General features: G+C 38.8%; 1 protein-coding gene across 17 annotated transcripts in view, besides 1 other annotated feature; it reads left to right on the forward strand.

Annotated features, from left to right (window-relative positions):
• IL1RAP (interleukin 1 receptor accessory protein) overlaps positions 1 to 27,842 on the forward strand; it is a 145,666-nt gene that overhangs the window by 5,973 nt on the left and 111,851 nt on the right. For 3 of the 17 annotated variants that reach the window (XM_047448081.1, XM_047448084.1, XM_047448085.1), the window contains exon 2: positions 445 to 27,662. The exons of 12 other annotated variants lie outside the window; for them this stretch is intronic. The gene's annotated coding sequence lies outside the window, so the exon portion shown is untranslated. The remainder of the gene's footprint in view (positions 1 to 444; positions 27,663 to 27,842) is intronic. 2 more of the 17 variants (XM_047448082.1, XM_047448083.1) reach the window with 2 other exon arrangements.
• Positions 20,769 to 21,651: an enhancer, noted in NCBI's record as "OCT4-NANOG hESC enhancer chr3:190258615-190259497 (GRCh37/hg19 assembly coordinates)". NCBI's record gives its function as "activates a minimal SCP1, AML or CMV promoter by ChIP-STARR-seq in naive H9 embryonic stem cells {active_cell/tissue: H9 hESC(naive)}" and the evidence as "EXISTENCE:reporter gene assay evidence [ECO:0000049][PMID:30033119]".

Here is a 27,842-nt window from a genome sequence, read left to right on the forward strand (position 1 = left end):
CTCAGATGGAGAGGGGGAGTATATTGAGTAGATGCCCCAGCTGGTCTAAGAGAATGTGCCACAGTTTGGCAAGCAATTGGGATGGTAAAGGATAGGAAATGAATGTGATATTTACCTTAAAATATCTGCTGAGGATATGGTTTATTCTGCCCTGTGCCTAGCACAGTGACTCATACATAAGAAGGGCAAAATTGAACGGATGATGGGTTCATATTATGTCAGTGGGCCCAAAATTGACTTTCTGGATTTCTCGTGCTTTATCAATAGTATTAGTTGTGTCAAAGTTTGCCTCTACAGACTAATAAAGTAGTTTTAATTTCCTTTAATTTTGTGGTCACAAAATCAGACAATGATAAGGAGTCATAGGCTCCAAGAAAGTTAGACATTACTAGCTCAATGATGGGAAAACCCATTTCTGTCCTAATAATAAAGGGCATTTTGCAGAAAACACGGTGAAGGATGATGCTGAAGTGCCCGTTTGCATATATTGACAGCAAGACCAGTGTCAAGTATCATAAATAAATTGCCAGAGAGAAAGTAGGAAGTTTCCATTGAAGTGGGCAGCTGCAATGAGCTTCGATCTCAAGATTTCTAAAAGCATTGAAGAATTTACATCACTTCAACTATTATTTTCTGTTGAACATGAGAACAGGTAACCTTTTATGTCTAGTTTATATCCAGCAGATGCTTGTGATTTCTACCTTTCTGGCACAAAAGTCCTCATGATTACACGGCTTCCTCCTCTGCCAATCAATGCTAATGGCAAGAGAAATGAGAAGCAGTCATTTTATAAGCATTATGTCTGGAAATGTTCCTTTCGTTGATAGCAGTTTCTTAACGCCAGTATGGTTAGATGCTATGGCAACTTAAAATTGTGTTTCCATAATATAGTGGACATTGATGTCAAACTGATCTGCCTGGGTTTGACTTTGGCCGAATTATTTGGTCTATCTTTGCCTTATTTTTATGATCTGTAAAATGGGGATAATAAAACCCATCTTGTCAGGCCTTTGGTAAGTGTCAATCATATGCCATGACATTTGTCAAGAGGCTTATGCATAGGGATTTTAACCTCTATTACAATTAACAACAGCAATGAGAATTGTTCCATTGCATGCCCAGATGGATACTAAATTAGAAAAAGAAAGATCCAGGTTGAAATAATAACAGCTTTTTTTTAATATAGAACTTTAAGTCGTCAAAATGCTTGTTATTGTATATGCAAATGTATACACATGTAACATTTTTTTTTTGCAATAATTCTGAGGTAATCAGGGCAGGTGTTGCTAATGTTTTACATCATGAGTCTCAAAGGGGCTACATATTTACTACAGCCAAGCAGCTAATAAATAGTAGAACTGGGACTTGGACCCTAGTTTTCTAACTCCAAGATTATGTCATTTTTTTTTTTTTTCCTCAGTCAATCAGCCCTGGTCCTGGTTAGTTGCGTTTCCTTCTCCAGACTCCTTGCTTTCACCCCGAAAATGAGCAATTTGGAAAATATTATGTCTAAGGTAGAGTGTTTTATAAATCTGTGACTGTAGAACAATGTCTTAGGAGGTATCTCATTGGCCTCGGTGAGAATTACAACCGGGTACTGCACGGAGAGTCAGATCCATAAAGAACCCTTTATGTCCTTAAGGATGTGATTCTGCCACATTACTCTGACCTACAGATCATTCCCCATCTGCCCCATCCCCTTCAGGACCCAGGTTTGGGGATGGGAAGAAAAAGTAGATGACTCGGTTAGGCACATGGACATTTAATATTTGGGAAATGATAATAGAGCCTTTCTTAAAAAAAAAGCAAGTTCTGTATCACCGTTAATCTCCATAGTTTTCTACAACAAAATAAAGGAGAAAATATTTTGCTTTAGTTTGGATTCTAGCGTTGAGTACACATTTTCTGCTTTCTTCTTTTGAGCTCTTAGTGCCCACAGAAGAGGCTTGACTCTCATTAAAATGTGAGTTCTTTCTGTTTATAGAAATGATGGAGACTTGAGAATGGTAATACACACTAAGTAGCACTTTTCTGGAAGATTATACTTCAGTTTCCCAATTACAGAGTGAGACAGTGGTGGGGGCAGCAGATTGAATGAATAGAGTAGATCGTAAGAAGTAGGCTGAGCTTCGGAATCAGGCTGGGTTTGAATTCTAGATACTGCATGCCTAGCCTGTCCAGACTTAGTTTTCTCACCTGTAAAATGGTAATAAACATGCCTGCCTTCCTTTGCTTCCTTCCTTCCTTCCTTCCTTCCTTCCTTCCTTCCTTCCTTCCTTCCTTCCTCCCTCCCTCCCTTCGTTCCTCTTCCTTCCTTCCTATTATCTATGTATCTTTCTATGTATCTATCTATGTATCTATGTATCTATCTATCTATCTATCTATCTATCTATCTATCTATCTATCTCTATTTATTAATAAGGTTCAAGTAAGAAAAAATATATTAAGCCTCTAGCTTTTAATAGCTGGCACCTAGAAGGCACTCAGTAAATATTCATTCCTTCCTCTTCATTCAGTGCTGCTGTTTACCCAAAGCCTCTCTCATTTGATGAATCTCAGATGGAGAGGGGGAGTATATCAAGTAGATGCCCCAGCTGGTCTAAGAATGTGCCACAATTTGGCAAACAATTGGGATGGCAAAGGATAGGAAATGAATGTAATATTTACCTTAAAATATCTCAGAATCTTTCATGTGTAGGAGGAATTAGACCAGTGATAAATTGCAGTGCATGGATCTTTCACAACAGAATCATGTGGATACCTTCTGAAATGAGCAGATATCTAGGATATCTGCACTGAAATCTAAGAATCACTGGATTAGAATTTTCAGTACTCAGAGGCAGGATATTGTAGGGGTTTGAATTTGGATTCAAATTCTGCTCCCTCAGTGTAAACCTAAGGAAGTTATTTAACTTTTCTATGTTACTCATTGGGTTGTGGGGAGAAGTAAGTAATTTGATACATATGAAGTGCCTAAAACACAGTTTTACTTACTGTATAAGCCAGTCTTTGAAATACCTTGCATGACTTTGTTTAACTTACATTTTATTTCCTCTCTAACTAAATGTCCTAGATAACTACTTGGCTAACTCTTTCATTTGCTTAAAGTCTTTTTCAATATCTCCTCAGGGAAGCCTACTTGGATTGCTTGAATTTGCATGGGTTGGGGTAGGGGAAGCAGGAATAGGGCTGCTTGCTCTCTGAAATCCTGATCTCCCTTACCCTACTCTTATTTTTCCTTTATTCTGTGGCATTTGGTACCTTATAAGCTTACACATACTATTTTATTATTTTATTTAGTCTATTTTTAAAATTTAACTTTTATTTTAAATTCAGGGGTACATGTGCAGGTTTGTTACATAGGTAACCTTGTGTCGTGGGGATTTGTTATACAGATTATTTCATTGCCCAGGTATTAAGCCTAGCACCCATTAGTAATTTTTCCTGATTCTCTCCCTCCTCCCACCTATCACCCTCCAATGGGCCCCAGTGTGTGTTGTTTTCCTTTATGTGTTCATGTGTTCTCATTTAGCTCCCAATTCTAAGTGAGAACATGCAGGATTAGGTTTTCTGTTCCTCTCTTAGTTTGCTAAGGATAATGGTCCCCAGCTCTATCCATGTTTCGGTAAAGGACATAATCTCATTCCTTTTTATGGCTGCATAGTATTCCACGGTGTATATGTACCATATTTTCTTTATCCAGTGTACCAATGACGGGCATTTAGGTTGATTTCATGTCTTTGCTATTGTGAATAGTGCTCAGTGAACATACACATGCATATGTCTTTATAATAGAATAATTTATATTCCTTTGGGTGTATACCCAGTAATGAGATTGCTGGGTTGAGTGGTATTTCTTTTTGTAGGTCTTTGAGGAATTGCCACACTGTCTTCCACAATGGTTGAACTGATTTGTACTCCCAGCAACAGTGTATAGTGTTCCTTTTTCTCTGCAACCTTGCCAGCATCTGTTATTTTCTGACTTTTTAATAGTAGCCATTCTGACTGGTGTGAGATGGTATCTCGTTGTAGTTTTGATTTGAATTTCTCTAATGATTAGTGATGTTTTATTCATATGCTTGCTGGTTTCATGTATGTCTTTGGAAAGGGTCTGTTCATGTCCTTTGCTCATTTTTTCTAAATAGGTTGTTTTTTCTTGTAAATTTGTTTAGGTTCCTTCTAGATGCTGGATATTAGACCTTTGTCAGAAGCATAGTTTGCAAAATTTTTCTCCCATTCTGTAGGTTTTCTCTTTGCTCTGTTGATCATTTCTTTTGTTGTGCACAAGCTCTTTAATTAGATCCTATTTGTCAATATTTGCTTTTGTTGCAACTGCTTTTCGTGTCTTCATTATGAAAAATCTTTGCCCATTCCTATGTCCAGAATGGCACTGCCTAGGTTGTCTTCCAGGGTTTTAAGTCTTTAATCCATCCTGAGTTAATTTTTACGTATGATGTAAGGAAGGGGTTCAATTTCAATCTTCTTCATATGGCTAGCCAGTTACCCCAGCATTATTTATTGAATAGGAAATCCTTTCCTCATTTCTTATTTTTTATTTCACCTCCAGTAGATTATAAAGTCCACAAGGACAGGGACACTTGATTTGCTTATTGCTGTATCCCAAGTGCCTAGAATAGTTTCTAGCAAATAGCAAATGGCCAATAAGGAGGCAATGATACATAAATAAGTATATGGATAGATGTTAGTGTGATTATTTGTCCCCAAGAAGTAGAAAGAGATAGAACCGGATAAGACAGTAAATTATACATGTAATATTCAAATAAAATTTGACATACATATATGCGCATATACACACATATATATACACATTTACACACATACATATACATATGTATATATAAGTGTATGTGTGTATTTTTGGAGTGTTGAGTATATATTTAAATATTGAAGTAATAATTTATGTCTATGTACATATATATATGTGTGTACATGTATATATGTGTATGTAAAAATAAGTGTCTATTTATCTATATATTTAGGAGTTTTTCAAAGCTACCTGAGGAAACAGAGGTGTTGAAGTGTTTACTTGTTAGGTTGCTATAGTGATAGGAAGAAAGATGAAAATATGTACATATGAGTCAAGAGACAACAGACAAACAGAAGAAATAGAAGTGATTTCAGGACAAGAAATGAAAGGCTAAGATTAAAACAGCAACCAACATTGGAGGGACATAGAAGAGGGACAGTTTTTAAGTAGACTAGTCAGAGAAGTGATCTCCGAGAAACTGACATTTGAACTAAGACAAAAGCCTGAGAAGGACCCACGATAGGCCTGAGGTCGTCACTGAGGTGGTGGGCCAAGTAAGAGACAGTGAAGAGCTGGAAATAAGGTTCTAAGATAGGCAAGGCCTAGGTCAGACTGGTCTTGCAGGCTATGGTGAGGAGTTTGGATTTTACGCAAAGTGTAGCAGGAAGTCACTGAACAGACAGAAGCAGGATGATGAGCAGGTCAAAGGTGTTTAGAGCCTTGAACAGAGAGTGAAGGAAAATGGAAGAACTTATTTATAAGATGAGAAGACCAACTGCTCTGATTTCATCATGTAGGCTGTTATGAACAGATGAGAAAGACAATTTGGTTTCATTGATGTTTCATTCATAGGCTCTCGTTCCCATTAGAACATTTCAAAAGGGAAAACAAAAACCCAGCTAAAATAGGGAAAACCTATATATTCTAGATGTGGCTTTGCTTTTTCTCAAATGATACCATTCTTATTTCCAAATGCATTAAGTAATGGATGGAAATGTATGCACTATTGCTCAATTCAATTCAGCTGGAAATTTTACAGTTCTTGTGTAGGTGTTTTATGTAATCAATTCCCCAAAACACTGAACCTAGAGCTATTTCCTTAGGAAACTTTAGCTACCAGTTTCTGAAATCTGTCGTAGTGAAGAGTAAGCATGTGAAAGGCAAATTAAATTCCATACAAGATCAATTTCTTCTTTCTGACTCTACAAATTTAAATGGTACCTAACTCTTGAAGAAGTAGCTTACAGGTCATCTCTTCCGTGATGTGTTTACTGGGCCCGTGCACATATAATCTCATACATGCCTCTTCATAATATGAGTTTAAAATAGCTTGATAACATATGCCAGACTCCATTTCAAATTTTCTATAAATAATTTCTTTTTGAAGTCTCGGAATAACCGTATGTGGCAGGTGAAGTTATAATCACCATTTTACACAAGACAAAACTGAGACCCGGAATCACAGAGTTGATCAGTGGTAGTGTCAATATTGGAAATTGAGCAAGCTTAATCATTATACTATTCTGCTCTTTGATTGTAAAAAGTAAACCTGCACATTTATTCACCTCTATTTGTCCCACTTACTTTGTGGTGCCTTATATGAAGGAATAGTTCAATAAGCGTATTGAATCAGTGAATTAATCTGTGACCTATTCTTTCAAGTTGTATCATTTCATTAGCAAATAGTGATAAAAACGTGGGTTTTAGACTGAGGCAACCTAGGTAGCAGAAGGTACTCACTACCTCTGTGATATGGTAAAATTACTAACATCTCTAAACCTCTTTCTTCATCTATGTTGTTGGCACAAATGTAGGGCCATTGTGAGGATTACATGAAGTGTGCATGTAAAGCACTTAGCACAGTTCCTGGAACATAATTAGAGCTGAGTCTATCTGAACTGTTTTTATTATTTTTTGAACTAAAATAACCTCCTCAAACATGATTACAATTATGTACCAGGCAGTTTTTTAGTTGTGCTTGTTTTATTAACTTTCTTTTAAAAATCAAAGCCAAAGATTCAATCATATAATCAGTGATGTTAATTTTGTTCCAGGGCTCATCCTGGCATCCTGCCCTCAGCAGGGCATGCAGTGTGGATTCTGAAAGGCCCTCTTATAGGAAGGAAGGCCAGTTCTGGAGAACAGCATGAGAGCAAAAGGTGCTGTGTGACCACGCTTTTTTCCTCCATACATCTGACATAGCTAAAGGCAGCACTTCCAACCTTGCCTGTCTATCTCCCTAGCCTGGATCTACCTTGCTGGAAAGTTACTTTGTATTCCAGCGATGATCCCAGAGCATTTTGGGTGACAAGGAAAAAACAGCAGAAGACTAAAGTTTTGCCCCAGATAACACTTAATGAGGTTAATTTACAGAACTTGCTGGAGGTTTAGGACCTAATATTGATCCTGTGCCTCTTGTGTACCAGGAGCTGTGCTGAATGTCTTAGTTTCATTATCTCATTCAATCCTTACTGCAGCCATGTACAAATTTTAGTCGTAAACCAAATTTACAACTAAAAAATAAAAATAAAAAGTGACATGCTTGACATGCTTGCCTCTACGTGTGTTTTGCAGGGCTGTGGTGATAAAATCAAATATTTCTTGTGTTTTGCCACATTTTTCTTTGAAAGCAAATTTTGCAGCGTTGCAACACCTCTGGAGTCTCCAGGGACCTCCCCTGCAGTGAAGACACATTTGGCAGAGAAATGAGGCAAAGGTTGCATGTGGAAGGCAGGAAGTTTCATTCCAGTTGACAGTTTACTTTGACCTGGAAGAAGCTGGTACCAATGAGCTGAGTTCTATTTTGTGGATTACATTTGTTTGCTTCTTTGTAGGGAACCAATATGGTGCTTGTTTACATTTTTTTTTTTTTTTTTTTGCTTTTGGTCTTGTTATGGGATGTTTAAAAGGTGTAACTTTTATCCTTCTACATTTTCCAAGTAAAGTTCAGATGTTTCGATATTCCTGACACTATTTGATAAATTATTTTAAGGAAAGGTCTACACACACACACACACACACACACACACACACACACACACACACGAGAATGGTGCCTGATTCATAATTGGCACTCACTATATATTTGCTGAATGAATACATAAGAAAATAAATGCATTTCCTTTTTCATCTTTCTCTCTCTGAGAATGGGAACTGCTGCAGGATTTTTTTAAATGGCAAGTTTCAATATATACCTTTCTTCTTAAATGTTTGCTTTAAGAATAATTTCAGAAGGAGATTATTCTAAAATATGGAGCATTACTTAATCTTAGTTATGCAGCACAGCTAATTGGAGTGGACTGTAATTCCTTTGGAATTTATTGAGGTGAGATCATTTACTTGTATACTAAATGGTCCCAGACTGATATACTGTTAAATTTGTGTAGTCTGATTTTCATAAATTTGCTGGCCTTTCTCTCTCTTATTGTCTGCTAATTCTCATTGCTTTTGGCATGTCTGGCTCTCCATTCCCCATACAATTAACAGTTTCTACTTTACTGCAGACTAGGAAGCTGGGTAATGAATTTGTTGGACCGGGCATATAATAAGAATACATAGCTTTGAATGTGGACTAGAGAGACTCTTTTCCAAGGTAAGGAAGTTAAAAGTTATGGCTGCTATAGAAACAGTCTTCATATAAGGTGATACCACACATAGTAACACTGGGTTTCAGTTGCCTGCGTTAATAAAAAGGGAGGCTTGGTAGGGATAATTCATTTACTCTTTTGGACAATAAGCATTTTCTGAGAAACTTCTGTAGGCAAGACACTGGTGAGATATAGAGAATTAAAAAAGCAAATACACAAACACAACTGAAAGATAAAACATACACAGGGGTTTATAATACAATTTATACAGTATTTCAAATAGCATGAGAATACATAATGTACTTTGAAAAGATATATAAGGTAATAAAACATTTTTGTATTTCAGAGGAAAGACAATTGTGTAACTCAGGAAGGGCTTTATAAGGAAGTTGTATTTAAAGTGAGTCTTGAAGTGATGGACAGGTTGGACAGAGAGAGATTGGTAAGGAGAAGTGGTAAATGAATTATGGTCTGACCGGGGTGAGTGAATGATATGGATTGTGCGATTTATCAGAGAGAGCTACAATTGTGGGAGAGACTGGGCAACTGAAGGCCTAGGGCAGGATATTTGGGAGATGAGAGAACAGTTAAGAAATCCTGAGAAGGCACTGGTTAGGAAGTCTGTTGAGGGCTGTTGCCTCTGCCTGTGGCAGGCAGACAGTCAGAAATGAAATCTGGATGTGACGTGGAAAAGGACAGATTGGAGCCCCTGAGTCTCTAGTTTGATGATATAGGTGTTCTGCAGAAGAGATTGGTGCTCTTAGCCACGGAATTTCACATCTGCCTGGCTTCAGACGGAGGAGTTTAAAGGGAAGATCTGGCAGGAATTGAAAGAGCAGTGGGCAGCCAGGCGCAGTGGCTCAGCCTGTAATCCCCGCACTTTGGGAGGGCCGAGGCAGGTGGATCATGAAGTCAGGAGTTCGAGACCAGCCTGGTCAAGAGACCAGCCTGGCCAACGTGGTGAAACCCCTTCTCTACTAAAAATACAAAAATGGCCGGGCGTGGTGGCTCATGCCTGTAATCCCAGCACTTTGGGAGGCCGAGGCGGGCAGATCACGAGGTCAAGAGATCAAGACCATCTGGCCAACATGGTGAAACCCCATCTCTACTAAAAATACAAAAATTAGCTGGGTGTGGTGACGCACGCCTGTACTCCCAGCTCCTTGGGAGGCTGAGGCAGGAGAATCACTTGAACCCGGGAGGCGGAGGTTGCAGTGAGCCGAGATCGCGCCACTGCACTCCAGCCTGGCGACAGAGCTAGACTGTCTCAAAAGAAAAAAAAAAAAAAAAATTTAGCCGGGCGTGGTGGCAGTCACCTGTAATCCCAGCTACTCGGGAGGCTGAGGCAGGAGAATTGCTTGAATCCGGGAGGCGGAGGTTGCAGTGAGCCGAAGATCACAGCGCCACTGCACTCCAGAGTGGGCAACAGAGCGAGACTCTGACTCAAAAAAAAAAAAAAAAAGAAAAGAAAAAGAAAGAGCAGTGGGCCTGGCTGCTGCCCCATCTAGGAGGTGAGCCAGTGATCAGCAACAACGTATGTGAGTTGCAGTACTACCTAGAGGCCTAGACAGACCCTCTGAATAAAGTTCTCTATGGGCAGCCCTAACTTGGAACCATAAAGAGTAAGGAATTCTAGGAAACATCATTCCAGTTTAACTATTTTTGCACAGTTAGGAAACAGAAGTGACTTTTATCTTAGAGAAAGGGAAGATAATGAAAACATAAAGTGAAGGAGGGAAACAGGAACCTGCCCTGGAGAGAGCCCAGTCTGACCGGGAGATAATATGTGAATACATCATCATTGAATGCAAGGAGGCACTATTTTTTGGGGACCTTAAATGCTCTGTTAAGAAATTCATACTTAATCCTATAAGACATGGAGACACAATGAATATTCTCGAGTAAGGGAGGGGCATTATCAGATCTGTATTTTAGATCTGGCTTAGAGAGGGAATAAGTGGGGCAATTAATGAGGATTCTATTATAATAATCAAGGTGGAAAATTTGCATTCCCAGAACTTTCTTCTGTTCTCACTAAAGGAGGTGACCCAGAGTCATCATAAGATGTTCTGGACCATTCTGGGAATTAAAAATGCTAGTGTACATTACAAGCCAAAGTGATTTCACCTATGGCTGCTATTGTCAACTCCGATGCCCTTATGGTATGCCTAGATAACTCTTCTTAAAAACTCCCTGATAAGTTTGCTTCTAGTAGGTGAAGAACAAGGAGAAGTGTATACACAATTAGAACATCGGCTTAAATGAAATTGGCTTATGCAATCATGTCAGTATCATTTTGAGAGGAGAGATCCTATAAAAACAAATACTTATTACGTAGTAAATTAAGACTTTGGGGCTTTACTGAGTGGTAACAACAGTATTCTCTTATGTGTATCCAAGTGCCCAACAAGTTACAGACCACTTACATGTTCATTATCTCATTTGATTTGATAACAGCTCTGCAAGGTCAGTTTTATCTGAATTATTACAAGTGAAAAAACTGAAGCTCAGAGGTTGTGATGACCATCAAGTGGCCACTTAGCCCCGATGATTCAAGAGCTCATTGGTGTTCTATATATTCAAAGGGCACCATTCTATTGCTCAACTTTCCATTTCGCTCTATGCACCACTGCCTGATAATCTTGGGACATATCTTTGTTCATGCTGTGTCCTTGTTCTAAATCCATTCATCGCTGGGCCCTGTTGCTCACACCTGCGATCTTAGCACTTTGGGGAACTGAGGTGGGAGGGTCCCTTGAGCCTGGAAGTTTGAGGTTACAGTGAGTCTGGACTGTGCCACCGTACTCTAGCCTGAGCAACAGAGCAAGAACCTGTCTGTAACAATAATAATAATAATTAAAAAAAATCCACCCATAGTTCTTGGACATTCTCACTTTAAAGATCTCTTTCCACCCAAAGAACAGGCTTTTTGTAACCCAGGTGTTACAATTTCAGCTGTTCTGTTTCCTCACTTTCCTGAAGTATTTTTACTGCCTTTCCTCAAAGCACAGGACACCAAACACAGGGTAAAGAGGAAAGGGTTCTTTACAAAAGCATACCTGAGTGGATACCTTAACACCCTCAGGAAATCTACACATCTTTGAATTAGGGCATTCCATAAGTCTTCCCTGTCAGCACTTCCCGGCACATACTCCTGAATGTTTAAAAACCAACCATATCTCTTGGCTTCCTACTTGTCAAGACACAGCTGAACTTACTCACTTGTCTTGACTTATGTAAAACACACACTTACAGTCAGTGCTGTATCACCTAAGACTTCAACAGCCAGCAGCAAGTGAATTAAGAAACCGTAATATATCCTCCATTCAATGCACCCTTGCAGGGTTTTGCACCCCTAAAGAGATCCCTAGGGCACATGAAATCGGGTGACTACCCCAGCTTCTTGCTGTGGGGAATCTAGGGTTTTTGTAGTTAATGATATTGAGACATGGACTTAGGGGAACAGGAGGAGGCATATAGAAATCAAGCTTTCGCAGCAGCCATTAAATGGAATACGTGTAATCGTTCTCAAAGAATACTAGATTGCTGGGGCCAAAGAGGCTAAACCTCTGGCTTTGCAGAAAGGCCTCAGAGGAATATGTTGTGTTTATAAAGTCAGCCAAACCTACCTGTAACTGGCTTTCTAGTTCTGGCATAGTGCACTTTCTGGTATCATGCTGCTTCTCTTGTCTTGGTTCTCACACATGAGTTTTGGCCTAATTGCTCTAGTTTGAGAGAGTCAAAGGCAAGTCTTCTAGTAATGAGGGGAAAAAAGGATAATAGCTAACAAGTTGAAGTGCTTACTGTGTGCCAGGTGCTTTACAAAATTACCTCATATAATCATCTTTCTTTTTTTTTTTTTTTTTTTGAGATGGAGCCTTGCTCTGTCGCCCAGGCTGGAGTGCAGTGGCACCATCTCGGCTCACTGCAAGCTTCGCCTCCTGGGTTCACGCCATTCTCCTGCCTCAGCCTCCCGAGTAGCTGGGACTACAGGTGCCCGCCACCACGCCCTGCTAATTTTTTGTATTTTTAGTAGAGACGGGGTTTCACCGTGTTAGCCAGGATGTTCTCGATCTCCTGACCTCGTGATCTGCCCGCCTCGGCCTCCCAAAGTGCTGGGATAATCATCTTGTCTAATTCCATGTGAGGTGCTTTACTGACCCTGTCCACCAATAAGGAAATTGAGAGTCAATGTGGTTAAGTAGCTTGTACAGCTGTGGAGAAGGACCTGAACCCAGGTCTATATGGCTGTAAAGCTCATGATGAAACCCCGTGCTTTGCCTCCCTGTGCTGAGGCGTGCCGTGCATCCCATGGCCCCTATCCAGTTTGCTTGCACGTACAGCTGAACATCTTATAACAGGCGTTTAGTTAGTACTCTGATGTGTCTGACAGTTCCCTAGAAGCTCAGCTTGGACTGAGCCAGCCCATTTGCGTTTCTGGCCTCTTCTTGCTTCCTTTTCTCCTTTTTCAATTTCCTTTTTCGGCTCAGGCAGCATGGGAGATGCCTTAATCAATTGATGATAGTTCCTTCTGTTTTAATGACATTCTCATTTCCTCAGTATGTTTTTCTCACTTTGAGGGTTGGAGAGGGGAGTAAGGGAACAAATACTTTCAAAAACCCCTAGTCTCCTAGTTTTGAAAGTAAGTTCCATGACGTTATGGAAATGCTGCTTTGAAATACTGGAACTGCTGTATTGAATGCCCATAGGTGTCTGTGAAAGAGGGAACCGTAGGCCCAACATGGCTCGAAAGACTTCATCCAGGATAAGTAGGTTGACATGACAAGGGATTTGGGTCCAGCTCAACATAAAGAGACATTTATTACAATTAGGGCCATATGAAAACTACATTAGTAATGAGTTCACCATCACTAGAGATATTAAAAGAGGGCCTAGACATCTAGTTGGCAAGGATGTCACAGGGAGATTTGAATATTGGAAAAAGGAGTTTGAATCAAAATGACATTTAAAGGCCTTTCCGGCCTTGAGATTCTGTCTTGAATTCACTTAGAAACTTTATATTGGGAATAAAGGTTTCCCCTTGTTATAATTAACACCAACTAGTGATGTCTCCTCCTCCCTCCCCCCTGTGCTTCCCCTGTCTGAACAACTACTCGATTTAAGAAGGGGACTTAGGATGAGGAAGGATGTGGTTCCTTCCCACTTGGCAGCACTCCGTGTCAGAATGGAAGACTTGTGTCTGGGCCTGGCACGGTTCCGTCAGGCCCTCTTACCAGCCCAGTCGTGTCTGTGACCAGAGCACGTGGGAGGTGCACATCCGTGTAGAAAAACCTCCCACTGGCTGCCAGCTCTGGATTTTTGAAATAATTCCTAATGAATGCAGTCTTGCCCAGGCCAAACCTCTTACAGGAATGATGACACACCCTGAAACAAGTCCGAGTCAGGCCAGACAAGCATCCCCTGAAAAATACTCCCTTTGCGGTTGGCAGCATATGAGAAAGTATCTTTGAGAGCCGTTTCTTCTTGCCGTTTCAAAGGAAAGCTGCTTGCAGGCCAGGAGGTCAGGAGTGAAAAACTCCTTTTTTTTTTTCTTCTATTTTTTCTTTTCTTTTAATTGGCTTACTACTCATCTGAAAGCTCTGCTAGTCAAATATGATAATCCTTTGATTTAATGTCAGGATTGAGACAGTTCTCTGGTTCTTGAAGGAAAGAGTGTTGCAATGCTAGGAAGTCTCCAGCAGCTGATTAACAGCTTTGATTTGAAAGAATAAAAAGAAAGATACAAAAACTGGCAGTGGGTCCTACCGATCGGTGCTGCAACTAAGAATGGACAGTATTTAAATAAGATGATCTTTCCCCTCAGGATTTACAGAGACTTCCATAATCTCCAGCCCACTTCATTTTTTTTTTTTAATGTAATGTTACAGCTCGGTATGCTTTGCTCAAATCTATCATGTTTGGATATTTCAAACTAGGAAGTTTCATTCCTTGTAGAAAAGCTTCAGAAACTCACCAGATATTTTAAGTCAGGTCAGTCCAGCTCTTCCCAGGAAATAAAGATGTTAAGAACTTCATAGCTGTAGGGACTCCTTAGAGATCCGATCCAGTGCTGCCTATAGGACCTTGGGCCGAGATTTCCCATGTACACCATAAATCTTCACAAAGTCGTGGGAAAAGAACAGCAACTTCAGCTCCTTTTGCAGCCTGATCATTGCTTCTGGGCCCGAGTAGCTGTCTTCTTTTGATATAGGACCATTGCCTGTTCAGACATGACTCTTTTTCCTGGATACAAATGGTATGTTATTTTTAGGGGGCAGTTATATTTCTTAATAGTTTTCAGAGTTGGTAGACAGGCCTGAACTGGGAATCAAAAGCCATCTTCTCACATTTCCACTAGTGAGTTATTGACCTCATGAAAGTCACCTCTCCTCCCTGGGCCTTTACTTCCCAAATAGTGTTCCAAATAACATTAGTGACTTCTGAGGTCCTGTCTAATTTTCTAGATGTCATCCGGATAAGAAGATAAAGTGTAAGAGAATTAAAAAAAAAAAAAAAAAAAAAGAAAACCAGCAAAGTGAAGTGTGGGGCTTAGGAAAATGAGAGTCCTCTGTTTAAAATATGTCTCAGAGAGCCTTGGTAGCAACAAAGGTCCCAAATATAGGAATCTTAGTCTGTACTGTGTATTGCAGGGTATATGGATTTCCTGTATTTGCCTAAGTTCTATTTGCTAAGAGCTGACTAGAAACATGAATAGTAGTCCTGAGGAAGCTTAAAGATGCTATCACATTCAGTTTACTCATTTGACATATCAACCCTGCGGCCTTTGTTCTGGAGGTACACTGAAACTTGAACTCAAGTCTCCTGCCTGCTTGTGCAATGTGCTTTCAAGTACACTGCCTATTCAGTTTATTTAGCAGTGATGAACGCTTACAGAAACCATCAAGCTATGTTTTGAAAGTTAGTTGATTCAAAACAATAGAGTTTAGTGGTCAGCCAAACAGAAGCAAGGAGATTTGCTAGTTTTGCATATGTGTGTGACTTAGTTTCCCTATTATCCACGTGTTAAACATAAGTTCTTTGTACAGCTCTATTCCTGGCCAACAATTAGTGCTATTTTTTTTCTCTCGGGTTTTAGAAGATCTACCTCCTCCAAACAACAGCAATTAACTACGACTTATAACTCACTCTCAGCTCCCCACCAGGGCCACTTACATTCACATTTCTGATCACAATATTTCTTAAGGTAAATCTTCAGTTCTCTGAGAATGCTGAACAATGAGTGTCTTCTAGCTCAAGTTACAGTTTGTAATGACCAATTTTGTAATTGTGGAACAGCCACAAACACGGTGGCATAAGATTCATGTATCCTGGCTTAATAGCTCAGATTATTTCCAAAAACCCACTGACGTTGGATCAATCATGCTACCTTTGTCCTTTTGTTTTTCTGTCTATTAAGTGCTGTGTTTGGCCCAGTCTTCCTCAGGTCTCCTATGGTCAAGGATCGTGTTTTAACTGTTTTGATAGGTTGTCTTTCTCAGGTGTATTCCATGCTACACTGCTATCATATAGCAAAGATCCTGAGAAATTATACTTTCATGAACAATTCAGGGCTGTGATTTTGAACATGAATTATTTTTCACTGTGCATAATGATGTTCCCAGAACCTATTGAAATACGTAAGACTCTAACGTGAAATGGCCCCAGACCCCCATATTACCAGTTTTTGCTTGTTGGGTTTCTTTTCTTGTTGGGTGTTAGTAGCTCAACTTTCACACCTGCCATCAACATGCCTCCTTATAAAAGCCATTTGTCCTTCATGCAAGTTTGTGACTTCTTCTCTGCCTAGGCATAAGGACTCAGATAACCAAGTTGTTATCTGAAGATCTGTACTATAAATAAAGTTGATTCTTTTTTTAATTTTTTTTTAAGTTGATGCATCTTAGTTACCGTTTGCAGCTCTGGTTTGTCTAGCTGTTGGCTACTGGTATTTACTTGATAATTGACACTGTCTAGTAATTGAGTTACCAGCTGTTGAGGTATGACTGCATGCCTCTGATTCTGTGGGTCTCACTTTTCTCTTCTTTGGATGTTTTCACTGGCCAATAGATTCGTTTTGTATTTTTACTGTGATCTTCTGGGTAGATGCTAGGGACCCTAATGATTTTTAAGTAATCCTGAAGAAAATTACCGTAAGCCTAAAGGTGGTTGAAAATGACAGTTTTTTGCAAATAATCAAAATGCCATCCATAGGGACATGGTTAAATACACTATCATAAGCTAGACAATGTAATCATATTTAGCCATTAAAAATGATGTATAATAGATCATAATGCTACATAAGTGTGAATTAGGGTGACAACCATGGTCTATGCTTTGCCTAATAAAGTATAATTTAAAAAACAAACAGACAAAAAGAAATGTAATTACATAAGCTAATCTGGAAAAAATGTGAAAGACACATTACTAAATAAAATAAGCATCTTTTATATACACATATGATTCAATTTTTGTAAAAAGAAAAACAGTTATATGTGAAAAAATGAAAGAGTCTGAGTCTAGTAGTTATATATGGTTATATTAAGAGAGAGACTGGATGAATGCCAAAGGGAGAGGAGAAGGGGCCACAGTGTTTACACTTCCTACCTAATATAGATATTTTTTTTAACTTTTAGACATTTACTTATTTAAAAAATTAACTTGGAACCTCTTACTAAGTGAGACTCGTAGCCTATCTCAAAGAGCGATAATGTGATATTTAAAGATTTTGCTGATTTGGACAGAAACAGAAACAAGAAGTGATAGAGAATTTATTAGATGCTTTACTTTAGATACATTTTCTCTTCTTTTTTTTTATTATTAATAATGTTGGCAGGGAGGCAGTGAACTTGCCCATTAGAGTTTGGCAACCTGCTTGAGTTTCCTAGGCATCCCATGAGTCCTCTCTGTTTCTTGCCACACAGCATTGACTCAGATCTATTCCTTTACATGCAGGCAGCTGTACGAAAACCTATGCACTCTTATAGCCTCATCTGGTTTCCTTTGTCAAGATATTACATTATGAAACATTTTGGGAAATTAGCAGCTTTTGACAGTAAATACGAATGATTTGTGATTCCACTAAGCCACTGCTTAATTTTAGGCTGCTGAATGGTGAACACTTTAAGGAGCGTGGGAACAGGCCATATTTTGTTTTGATCTTACACAGTCTCATTTGAAGGAAGGTTATCCATTTGAAGATGGGCTATAATTTACAGAAAGGCAATTATATTGAAGACTAATAATGAGCATTTAGTAATACATATCAAAATGTAGAATATGAATAACTTCAGAATTTCAAGATCTTTTATTCTACATAATTAATTTTTACAGCTGAAATGTGCCTATCTTTTTGGCGATCAGATACCCCCTGCCCTCCAAAATACAGGGTTAAATCTACATAAGACGTATACGATTTCTCCATGGCATATCATTCTAGGCCTGTTTTCTGTAATTCCTTGCCTACTCACCTGCAGGTTATATTCTAGTCTTACTAGATTTCTTGTTTTCCTCTAAATATCTCATGTACTTTTCTGTTTTGAGAACTTTACTCAGATTATTTTTGCTTTTTGGAATACCTTCTCTTTTCTTCCCTTCTTTTCTCTTTGCTCTCCACTGTCTCTGTGATTCTTTCTGGTCCCTAAGTACCCACACAGAAGCACACACCTCTGTTCCTCTTCCTGTTTAGATGCAAGATCTTCCCCATGAACCCTCCCTACCACTATTAGCTAGCAAGAATCACTGCTCACTTGGCATCCACAGCCCTTTATTTACACTTTATGCCTTACACTGTTGCTTCTCAATGTATGGTCTAAGGAGCAGCAGCAATAGCAGCCTCTGGGGGTTGACTAGAAATGCAGAATCTTGAGTCTTGTCCTAGACTTATGGAATGTGTGAATCTCCATTTTACCCAGTTTTCCAGATTCTCCTTATGCATGCTACCATTTGAGAAGCACTGTCTTAGAGCAGATATCCAACTTTGCCTTCACTTGGTTGCTTTTGTGTGAGTGGGTTCTGATAGAATCTGGCTTGTGATCACAGACTGTATCTTCAGCATTCATCTGCAAGGCAGGATGGAGTGCTTTGCACACAGCAGGAGCTCTTAACTGTGTGTTGTTGAATAAAAGCTTGCATTTTCAATGAAGAGGGGTGTTTGAGGGAAAAAACAAATACAGGGTATTTCCATGATTCTTGTCGGCACGATGTCTTTCAGATTGTCTGGTTTCCATCATTGCTGTGGTTGGGTTTTATAGACCCTAGTACAAAGGGACTGATATGGTTTGGCTGTATCCCACCTAAATTTCATCTTGTAGTTCCCATAATCCCTATGTGTCATGGGAGGGACCCAGTGGCAGGTAATTGAATCATGGGGACGGTTACCCCCATGATGCCTTTCTTGTGATAGCAAGTGAGTTCTCACGAGATCTGATGGCTTTATAAGGGGCTCTCCCCTGTTTTGCTCAGTACTTATTCCTACCACCATGTGAAGAAGGACGTGTTTGCTTTCCCTTCCTCCATGATTGTAAGTTTCCTGAAGCCTCCCCAGCCATGCTGATTTGTGAGTCAATTAAACATCTTTCCTTTAAAAATTACCCAGTTTTGGATATGTCTTTGTTAGCAGTGTAAGAATAGACTAATACAGAGACTTACCACCTTATCAAATCTCTTTCCTCCTCTCACCTCTTTGAGAAAGAGTTACAGTGGTGTGGAGGATTACAGCTTTCAGAAAGAAGCTCAGGTGAGTTCATTGTCCAGGGGATTGTATTTAAAGCATAGGGAAATACTTTGTATTAATATTTTATGAATAGGACTATATCTGTGTATCTGTGATGATTGTATATTTGTCCAAGAATTGGAAGCCTGATCACAAGGTCAGAGTAAGATCCAGAATCAGAATTTGGTGCCTCTGAACTTAGGAAAATAACATTGTTTTAGTTTATTATATTTCCTTTTGCAAAATTTGACAAGGAAAAGCTTCATAATTTCAAAAATGCTTTTCTATCTTGTGATACAGATTGTAACAGACTTATATTCAGATTTGTTCTCCAAGTATCTCCATCTTCCCCACTTCCCCTGGTATTGCTGTTTTTCTTAGTGTCACTTTTGCCTTCTCCTCTCATCTGTACATATTTCTTTTGCGGTTTTCTTAGTTATTCTACTCGTATTCCAATACTTAAAACATCTGTATCATATAACTCTGGTGATATTCCTGATCCTTCACAAAATGTTGTGTATAATTAATAAAATTACAGTGTGTATAAATATGTAAAAATAAATAAGGATAAATTAAAAATAAAAATAAAATGAAATATATAATTATAAATAAAATAAAATGAAGATAAAATGTAAAAAATAACCTAACAGGTGATTTTTTTGACATAGATAAGAACAACCCTAGTAGGGACTTGCCATTTTTATTTCTGTTTTTAAAGCAGATCTTGAATATGTAATGCCCGTTACATCCATTTCTTTTAGATTATTAAGATTAAGACATTGTTTAAATACTTCTTTCTACTTTTATTGGCTATTTTTTTTAAAAAATATATTTTATGGTTCCGTGCTCTCCCTCTGGCATTTGAATGATACAAAAATGAATTATAGGAACCAAAACATAATGCTACTTGTTTCATCTTAAAACCTTAAGTTGCTTACAATGAAATGAAGGAGGTAAGATGTTACCACATAAAGAGAAAACACTGTCATAGAGTTTTTGTTTAGAGAGATCTAGGACATCTTGGATATGCAAAAATGACAAGGTTGGTAGAACATTGAGGGACAGATTAGATGAATTCTCGTTACTTGTTTTTCCCATTCACATATCCCTCTCTCTCTTCTCTCTTCCGTCCTCTCTGCCTTCCTCCCTCCTTCCCAAGGTGTCTTATTACCTTTCCCTCCCTTTGTCCTTCTGTTTTTTTCTTTGGTGGATGAATGTTTGTAAGATGTCCATTTTGAAGCTGAAAGCCTCAAAGGCTCAAAGGCAGATAATTCTCTTTTTGGAAGTCATTTTACAAAATCCTTTTTATGAACCTGTCTATAGGGAAATTTCTTCCTGTCCTGGCTGTGCAATGAACCATTTATTTGTTCTCATGGATACCAATACTTATTCATTATTTTAAACTTTGTATTTTCTTTTTTTTTTCCTCCTAAGAAGTTCATTTTGCTCTTTCTTCTGATTTTCCTACCTGTTTGTAATAACAGGAATTAGTCTTTCCATGTGTCTGTGTTGATTTTTTTAATATTACTTTAGTGAAAATTATAGAGGTTACAGGTTTAGGAGCTGTTGGGGAAATAAAATTTAAAACCAAAGTCTCCCAACTGAGAAATTCTCTCTATAAAAGTAAGAGAGAAAGAAAACAAATCTATTTTTTATTCTTAAACAAGCATTAAATCAGAATGTGATGTACATCACAGGTAATCCACTAAGAGATGGCAAAGACAGAAAGAACTCTCACTCTTTTATGAAGCCAAACAGCCCATTACATACGTGTTTTCAAGATAAACAATAACTTGTCCTCAAGTAAGCTTGACAGCACCATTTGTCACACATAGCTCATCCTAACTTTACCTGGTAATTGAGGTGACCATCCATGTTAGCTGATTGGTTTTGGCCAGAGGAAAAACAAACTTCACATATCTTTATGACAGGAGGTAGTTTTTTAACTTGGTGCAAGTTGCCTACCAAAGTTAGGGTCCAACTCTCCCATAGAAACTGGGAGATAGGGGTGCTATCTACCAAAGTTAGGGCCCAACTCTCCCATAGAAACTGGGAGATAGGGGTGCTATCTCCTGTGATGTTCACTTTTCAAAGAGATGGCCTCCAGGTCTTCCTAGTAAAAGGCATTTCTAGGTCACAAAGCTGACAAAAGGCCTTGCTTAGCCTTCAAAAGGATTTATATACATTTCAAAGAGTACAAAAAGTACTCAGTAATTGCAAGTTGGCCAAAGTAAATGCTCTGAGAAAAAGAAAGAAGGTGAAGAATCTTTTCCCTTATTTTCAACAAGAATTATGCTTCTTAGTTTTAATTTGTACTTAATCTGACAGAAGATAGGTCCTATTTCATTATGTTTAACTAAGCAGTTCAGAATTAAAGTTTTACTTTTTCTGAGTTTGACATTCAGCTGACTTTTGTCTTTGGCCTTGTGGTAACAAATTATACGCCTCCAAGTTGGAATCTGATTTGACAATTCATTAGCATTTCTTTAATTTGTATTTTTATTGTAATAAAATTGACCATTTTAACCATTTTTAAGTCTACTGTTTTGTGGAGTTAAGTACATTTTCATTGTGCAACTATTGCCACCATTCATCCCCAGAATTTTTCACATTTTGTACTCAAACTGTAGCCTTTAAACATTAACTTCTGAGTCTGTCCTCCCCTCAGCCCCTGGCAACAACCATCATTATCACTTTAACCAACCTATTCGAAATGCCCATGAAATTTCAATATCCTGTCTCTGGATGAGAAGTGGAGAATTGTGTTTGCCCAGGATTTTAAAGATAAAGATGTTTTCTTGGGAAACTGACTGAGAAAAACAACTTTAAAACCTTGAATGTGGTGCACCCATTTATACAAGTGATGCCACACTAATTATAAATAACTTAAGTCTGTGCAGTTCCCCAGAAATGTCTCATTCGTGCCACTTCATTACTTTCAAACTGATAATAAAATACCCTCCTAGTGAAATATTTTTTTGCATGTAACTCAGGGATTTTACTATTGTAGATTTGGCATTTTTCACAACCCTTGCTCCAGTGAATTTTTATCTTTCTTAATTGATCTTTTGGACACAGCAAACGAAATATTGAACACTTCATATATTTTGTTTTATAAACTGTCGTGGATATGAAGGAGAATGATGTGAAAGAATCAGGGCAGACAATCTGTTGCAGTCAGAGAACCTTAATTAAAATGAAGCTTTGCTATTTGATTGTCGTGATAGCTTGAGTTAGACACTTCACCTTTCTGCACCTAATTTCATCATCTGTAAGACAGGAAAATTATATTCCTTTTTGAGTAAGTTGTGTGAATATGAAGTAAAATAAGACATGAAAAGAAGCACTGTGTATAGTGTCAAAGCATGAATTATTTCAACTGAGTAATGTACTTAACATATGGCAGAAATTTGGAAAATACTTGTTGAGTGAATGAACAGATGTTATTCTCAAGGTTAATTTTTCTAGGGTTCTCTCTTCTACACACATACTCCTGTCTTTGCTTAAAACCTACCCTCTCTTGGCTTTCCTCTGATTCCTGATTGTATCTTCTTCTCCTTACCCAAATTATGCTTCCAGTTTAAAAACTCCAGATCTCAGAGTTTGGGTAGTGATTTGAAAGGGCTCAAGGAATTTCTGTTATATTATTTCATAGAAAACTCTTCCTTTCTAAATGGAACTGCTTCCTGAAAGCTTTTGGGGGTTAGAAATGGCCATTCGAGTTATCCACTGTAACATACACAAAGATTAAGGGAATTTTTTTTTTTTTTTTTTTTGGCTAGCATCAACAGGCTCAGGGGAGTTCACCCTAGCCAAAAAAAAATGATGAGCTGCAATAATGTTAAATCAGACATGTGAATCCAAATTAAACAGAATTCTTGGTGTAATTCCAGGCTGTTCCCTCGATGGTCATTGGGTGGGGGCTCACTAAGCAACTCTGTTGTTCAGTGTCACCATACACATGATAAATGCAAATGTATGTATTATAAAGCAGCATAACCAAGGCTTACACTGACAAAGGCAGATGACAATCCAAAGGTATTCTGTTGAACATGCCTTGCCTGACATGTTTTAGTGGAAAAATCACCCCCACCCATGATGATCTGAGAAAGAAATGAGTGTTGAGAGACTGAAGGAGCAGAAAACACATAAAGGAATTATAGTATTTTCCTGGATTGAGAAACAGCCTGTAGAATCACTCTGTTTAGAAGAATGTAATCATTCACTCAATAATCCAGAGCGTTTTCTATATGCCAGGCTTCAATGCTAGACCCTGGGAGTCAAAAATGAATCAGAAGTGGACCCTGTCTGCAAACGTCTTAAGAGAGAAGACATACACACTTATTTAATAGTACAAGATAAAAAAGCACATTACTGAGACTATATGGGAAGCATAGCTAACGTTTTAGGAAGAAGGTAGAAATTACATCTGGCAGAGGGAAGCAGGGAGGTTTCATGAAAGAAGTGGTTTCGGAAATATGTCCTGAAGGACAGGTGGTATGTGTACACTTGGAGAGGGTAATGAAGGGCATCCCAGGCAGAAGAGATGAGTAAAGGGGAAGGAAGGCACGGGGTGATCTGTAGCAATATCTCTATTTGTACCTGTGGTGGGAGTGCTTGATATGTGAGAAGTAGTGGTACAGCAAAGGGTTGGAAAGAGAGCTTGCTGCCAGATCGTGGGAGGATTCAGAATGTCAGTGACGGACATCAGGGAAGTAGCACTAGGATATGATGTGTGAGCAAATTGCTTTGGGCTTTGTCATCAGTCGGCCTTTACAGGTGTTCCCATGGCACCCAACCCTTACCTGAGGCTTTTACAGCCTTCTTGTTTGCAGTGTGGTAAATATCTCTTCCTTTGGATTTAGAGAAGGAGATTTCAGGCTGTTTTTTATATATTAGAGAATGGAAAGAACATTTGCATGCAAAAACTCTCAGTTTTTAGGTCACCCTAATACATACATGCATTTTCTTCCCTTTTTCAGAAAGAGCAGAACAATTGAAAATAATAGCCCTTTTAATTTTTCTAACATTAAGGTCACACAGGTGAAAGGGTTATTTGCTGGGTCTCATAGGTGCTTACTCCTTTTATCATTGGAAAAATAAAGGCTCCCCTCTGTTTTCTGACTTTTTCTGGATGGTGTCTTATGTTCTGATTTGGCAACAGTCTTTAAGAATCCAGAATTCTGGAAGTAGTGAAATTATAATCAACTCCAATTAGCTACACTGGTGGAGCATAGCATTATCATACTTAAATCCACCAGCATGTCTTACATCTCATTTTAGCTAGTCATTATGCCATTGTTCCTCCATCAGCTTGCCACAGGAGTGGTTTAGCAAATTAGAAAATTGATTTGAATTTCCTACTTTTTTCCCAATTAAAAGTTCATGAGCCTTACTCTAAAACTACCTCCAGTAGGAGTAATACACCCAGTGAGAGAATTCCTAGGAATTCCTCAAAGCTTGGTCTACTGTTTGGGGGCCCTTACACAGTCAAACTCCACCTCCACCGTGTTTTTCTGAAAGAACTTCATTCAGCATTTCCAAACTGTGGCAAGGAACCTGATGATTGCAGATGTTACTAAACAAGAATTACTAAAGTCAATTAGATTTGAGAAACACTGTATATTATTACTAAGTAATTGAGTTTCACAACATGCATTAGCATCCTGAAAGGCCCTGAAAGAAGTCCTGTGGGAAAAGATAACTTTTGAACCTCTTTCACCTAATATTAATAACCTAATGTTTCTCTAAACTGAGGGTGAATTACTAAAGCATAGCCTTTCAAAATCATTCTGTAAAAGCCTAAGCTGAACAATGTGGTTCAATATGTGGCCTTCAGAGGGTCTAAGATAATTTAAGAATGAAATTTAAAATATCAGGAGACTCGAATTAAGTAGGTACATTTATTAGGACTCTGCATTGTATCCATCCTCTATTTACCTACCAGGATTTACGTGAATATTTTTTCATAGCCTGGAGATCCTTTCAAACCCTGTCTGTGTTAACAGAGCTGCTACATCTGATATTATTTTCCGGAATCTGAAGAAACACCAAAGAGGACTGAAATAATAAGACATTAATTTCAGCTGTAGAATGCCGATGTTGCTGACCCTGCAGGGTTATTGCAGAGGGAGATTAATTATGCATATCTGCCACCCTAGGCTTTGGAGTTGAAGTACCCTGCTGTAATTCACTGCCGGATCATTCATGTAGCCAGCATACTGATATGATTATTATTCCACCAAGGTTTTTATCTGCCCCTAGACAATTACAGAAGCACTTACCAGCATCTCTCATTGACTTCTTATTTAAAATTCCCAGGGCCACAGCAGGCATTCGCATCCTTTTATCGGAGACAGCTACAGATCAATGACATGAAGCAACATGGGATTTTCTGTAGGACATGACAAATGCTGAGATTGTTGCTAAGCAGAAGATAGACATTCAGATTCCAGTAGAAAATAGTGTTGCAGTGGCTCTCTAACACAAACTTTTAAGGCAATGACAAGAACATACAATGGAAATATTATGAGATTTGGTGTCAAGGTATTTGAGTTTGAACACTGGCTTCACTATTTGGTGTCCAGGAAGCTATAGTTCTTCTGTAAAATGGGATTGAAATTAAATGACAAACTCTTGGCAGCTTGAGGATCTGGAGATCTCTTTAGGTTGTGAGATGAAATGTATATATGTGTGAAATCCCTGCTAGGGTATGTATATATGTGTGAATCCCTACGAGGTTGTGAAGTTTTAATGTATACATGTGTGAAAAAAAACTTTGTGAGTGACAGAGTGTTTTAAAAATATTTTTGTGCTAATGGGAATGGCTTTCATTCCCCGCGTAGTCATAATGGAACATCCTTTTCGTGGCCCCACTGCTTGGGTGATGACCTATCGATGCCTGTAGTCACCTCACACAGAATGTAGTGACTATGCATCGGTATGATTAGCAGCTGCATGCAGTGTACATCCTTGAAATGATGCACAGAATAAAATTCCTATTTCCTATTGCTGTTCTCAGCCCAGGGTTTTAAGGGACTTCGAACCTGCAAGATAACATTCATCTGATTTGCATTTTTTTCAGTTAAGTTTTCCTCTCTGTTCTATAGATCAGTGGCAAAAAGTATGGCTTGTTTTGTTTTAATTTTCCCCTAAGAGGCTTTCTCCCTTATGCGTGGCTGCATCACAGAACGCTACCTGTCTTCAGAGACCAGCTGTAGTGCCAGCTCCAAGGAATCTTTCCACCCTCACTCCTCAGTCTAAACCCCTTTTCTCTCCCCACAACTCCTACTCTCTACCACATTAAAATGCAAGTAATTCCTTCCCCACAGCATGCTGGCATGTTGCTTGGACTGATTTGTATACTTAATAATAGCATGAGCAAACACAGCTACATAGCTTTGTAGAGTTAAAGAAATAATAAGAGCAGATACACTTTTAGGTATTTTATATATGTTAACTCATATAATCCCCTCAGCAATCCTAGGAAGTAGAAATTATTATTCTCCCCATTTTGCAGATGGGAGAAGTAAGTCACCAAGAGATTAAGTAACTGGCCCAATATTTCATGGGTACCATGGGGGCAGAGCCAGGAATTGGTAATTAAAATAATAGGCTTTTAAACTATGAGGTTACAATGAGCCCTATGCAAATTGGAGATTTCTATAGGTTGTGAGTTCCTGGATGTCTGAGGCAATGAAAATCTGTGTCATCTATTCACATTTAGCGTAAGGGCTCCGCATAGTAGGTATCCAGTTACACGAAATAGCTTTGCATTGAGAAAATCGCCCCTTGAAAGCTTAGGATGTGGCCACAAAATGCCCCCCTTGTCCTCTGTCAATATGTTTTTAGTATACGTTCTGCATTCCTGCTCAATATGCTTGTCAGAGCATTTTAAAACCTCACATAAGCACTGCTTGAGCACCTCTCTGTGAGGGAGGCCAGTGTTCTGTTTTTTTGTAAGTAGCTGTGTGGTAAAGATAAGGCATACTTGTTGAAATTAGGGTTACTTGAGTCTTTAGTGGTTTATGGATCAGTAGATAATAGCACTATAACATTCCAGCTCATTCGCATTCTGATGAAAGGGGAATTGCATGGTGTTACTTTATTTTCAATAAAGTCACCAAATGTCAATGCATATGAAAAGAACTCTGGCCATAGTCCTCCGCCCCTTCCCCCCATCCAGTGTGATCTGGTGGACTGAGGTCACAGCCCAGACTATGGGACTGGTGGGTGCGCATTGCCATCTGTCAGGATGATCCTGGTGCCCAAAAATTAGTGAAAGAAGCCATAGAATTTTCTCAACAGGGACACAGACTCACACAGACCTCCTCAGTGTTAGTTCATAAGGGGATTTTCTTTAACACTTTAGATACAGAAACATGATATTTCTTTAGGGCTTACTTTTTTGGCTTATATGAGTTCCCAGGAAAACCTGGAATATTATCTTTGTGTTTCAGGGACAAAAGTGGGGATTGGAGCAGTGAGGATGCATAATAGGCTGTTTTCTCCTATAGGCTGAGAATACCTGAAGGTAAAGGCTGCACTGAAGCCCCTGTGCTTTCTCCCAGGTGGCGAAGTGTTGGCCTGGTGCACTGTAAGTCTGCTGTGAATGTTCTAATTTAACTCTTGACTTTAACTCTTCCTAATAAAACTAGTTGTGGAAACTGAGGCATAGGGACAATGAAATATGTGGCCAATGTTATAGCACTTGTTAATGCCAGAGTCAGAACTAGGAGAGGGCTCGTCCTGCCCATCTCTCTGTGTAATGGAGAAT

This window comes from Homo sapiens, chromosome 3 (genome assembly GCF_000001405.40).
Source record: "Homo sapiens chromosome 3, GRCh38.p14 Primary Assembly".
NCBI classification, from domain to species: Eukaryota; Metazoa; Chordata; class Mammalia; order Primates; family Hominidae; genus Homo; species Homo sapiens.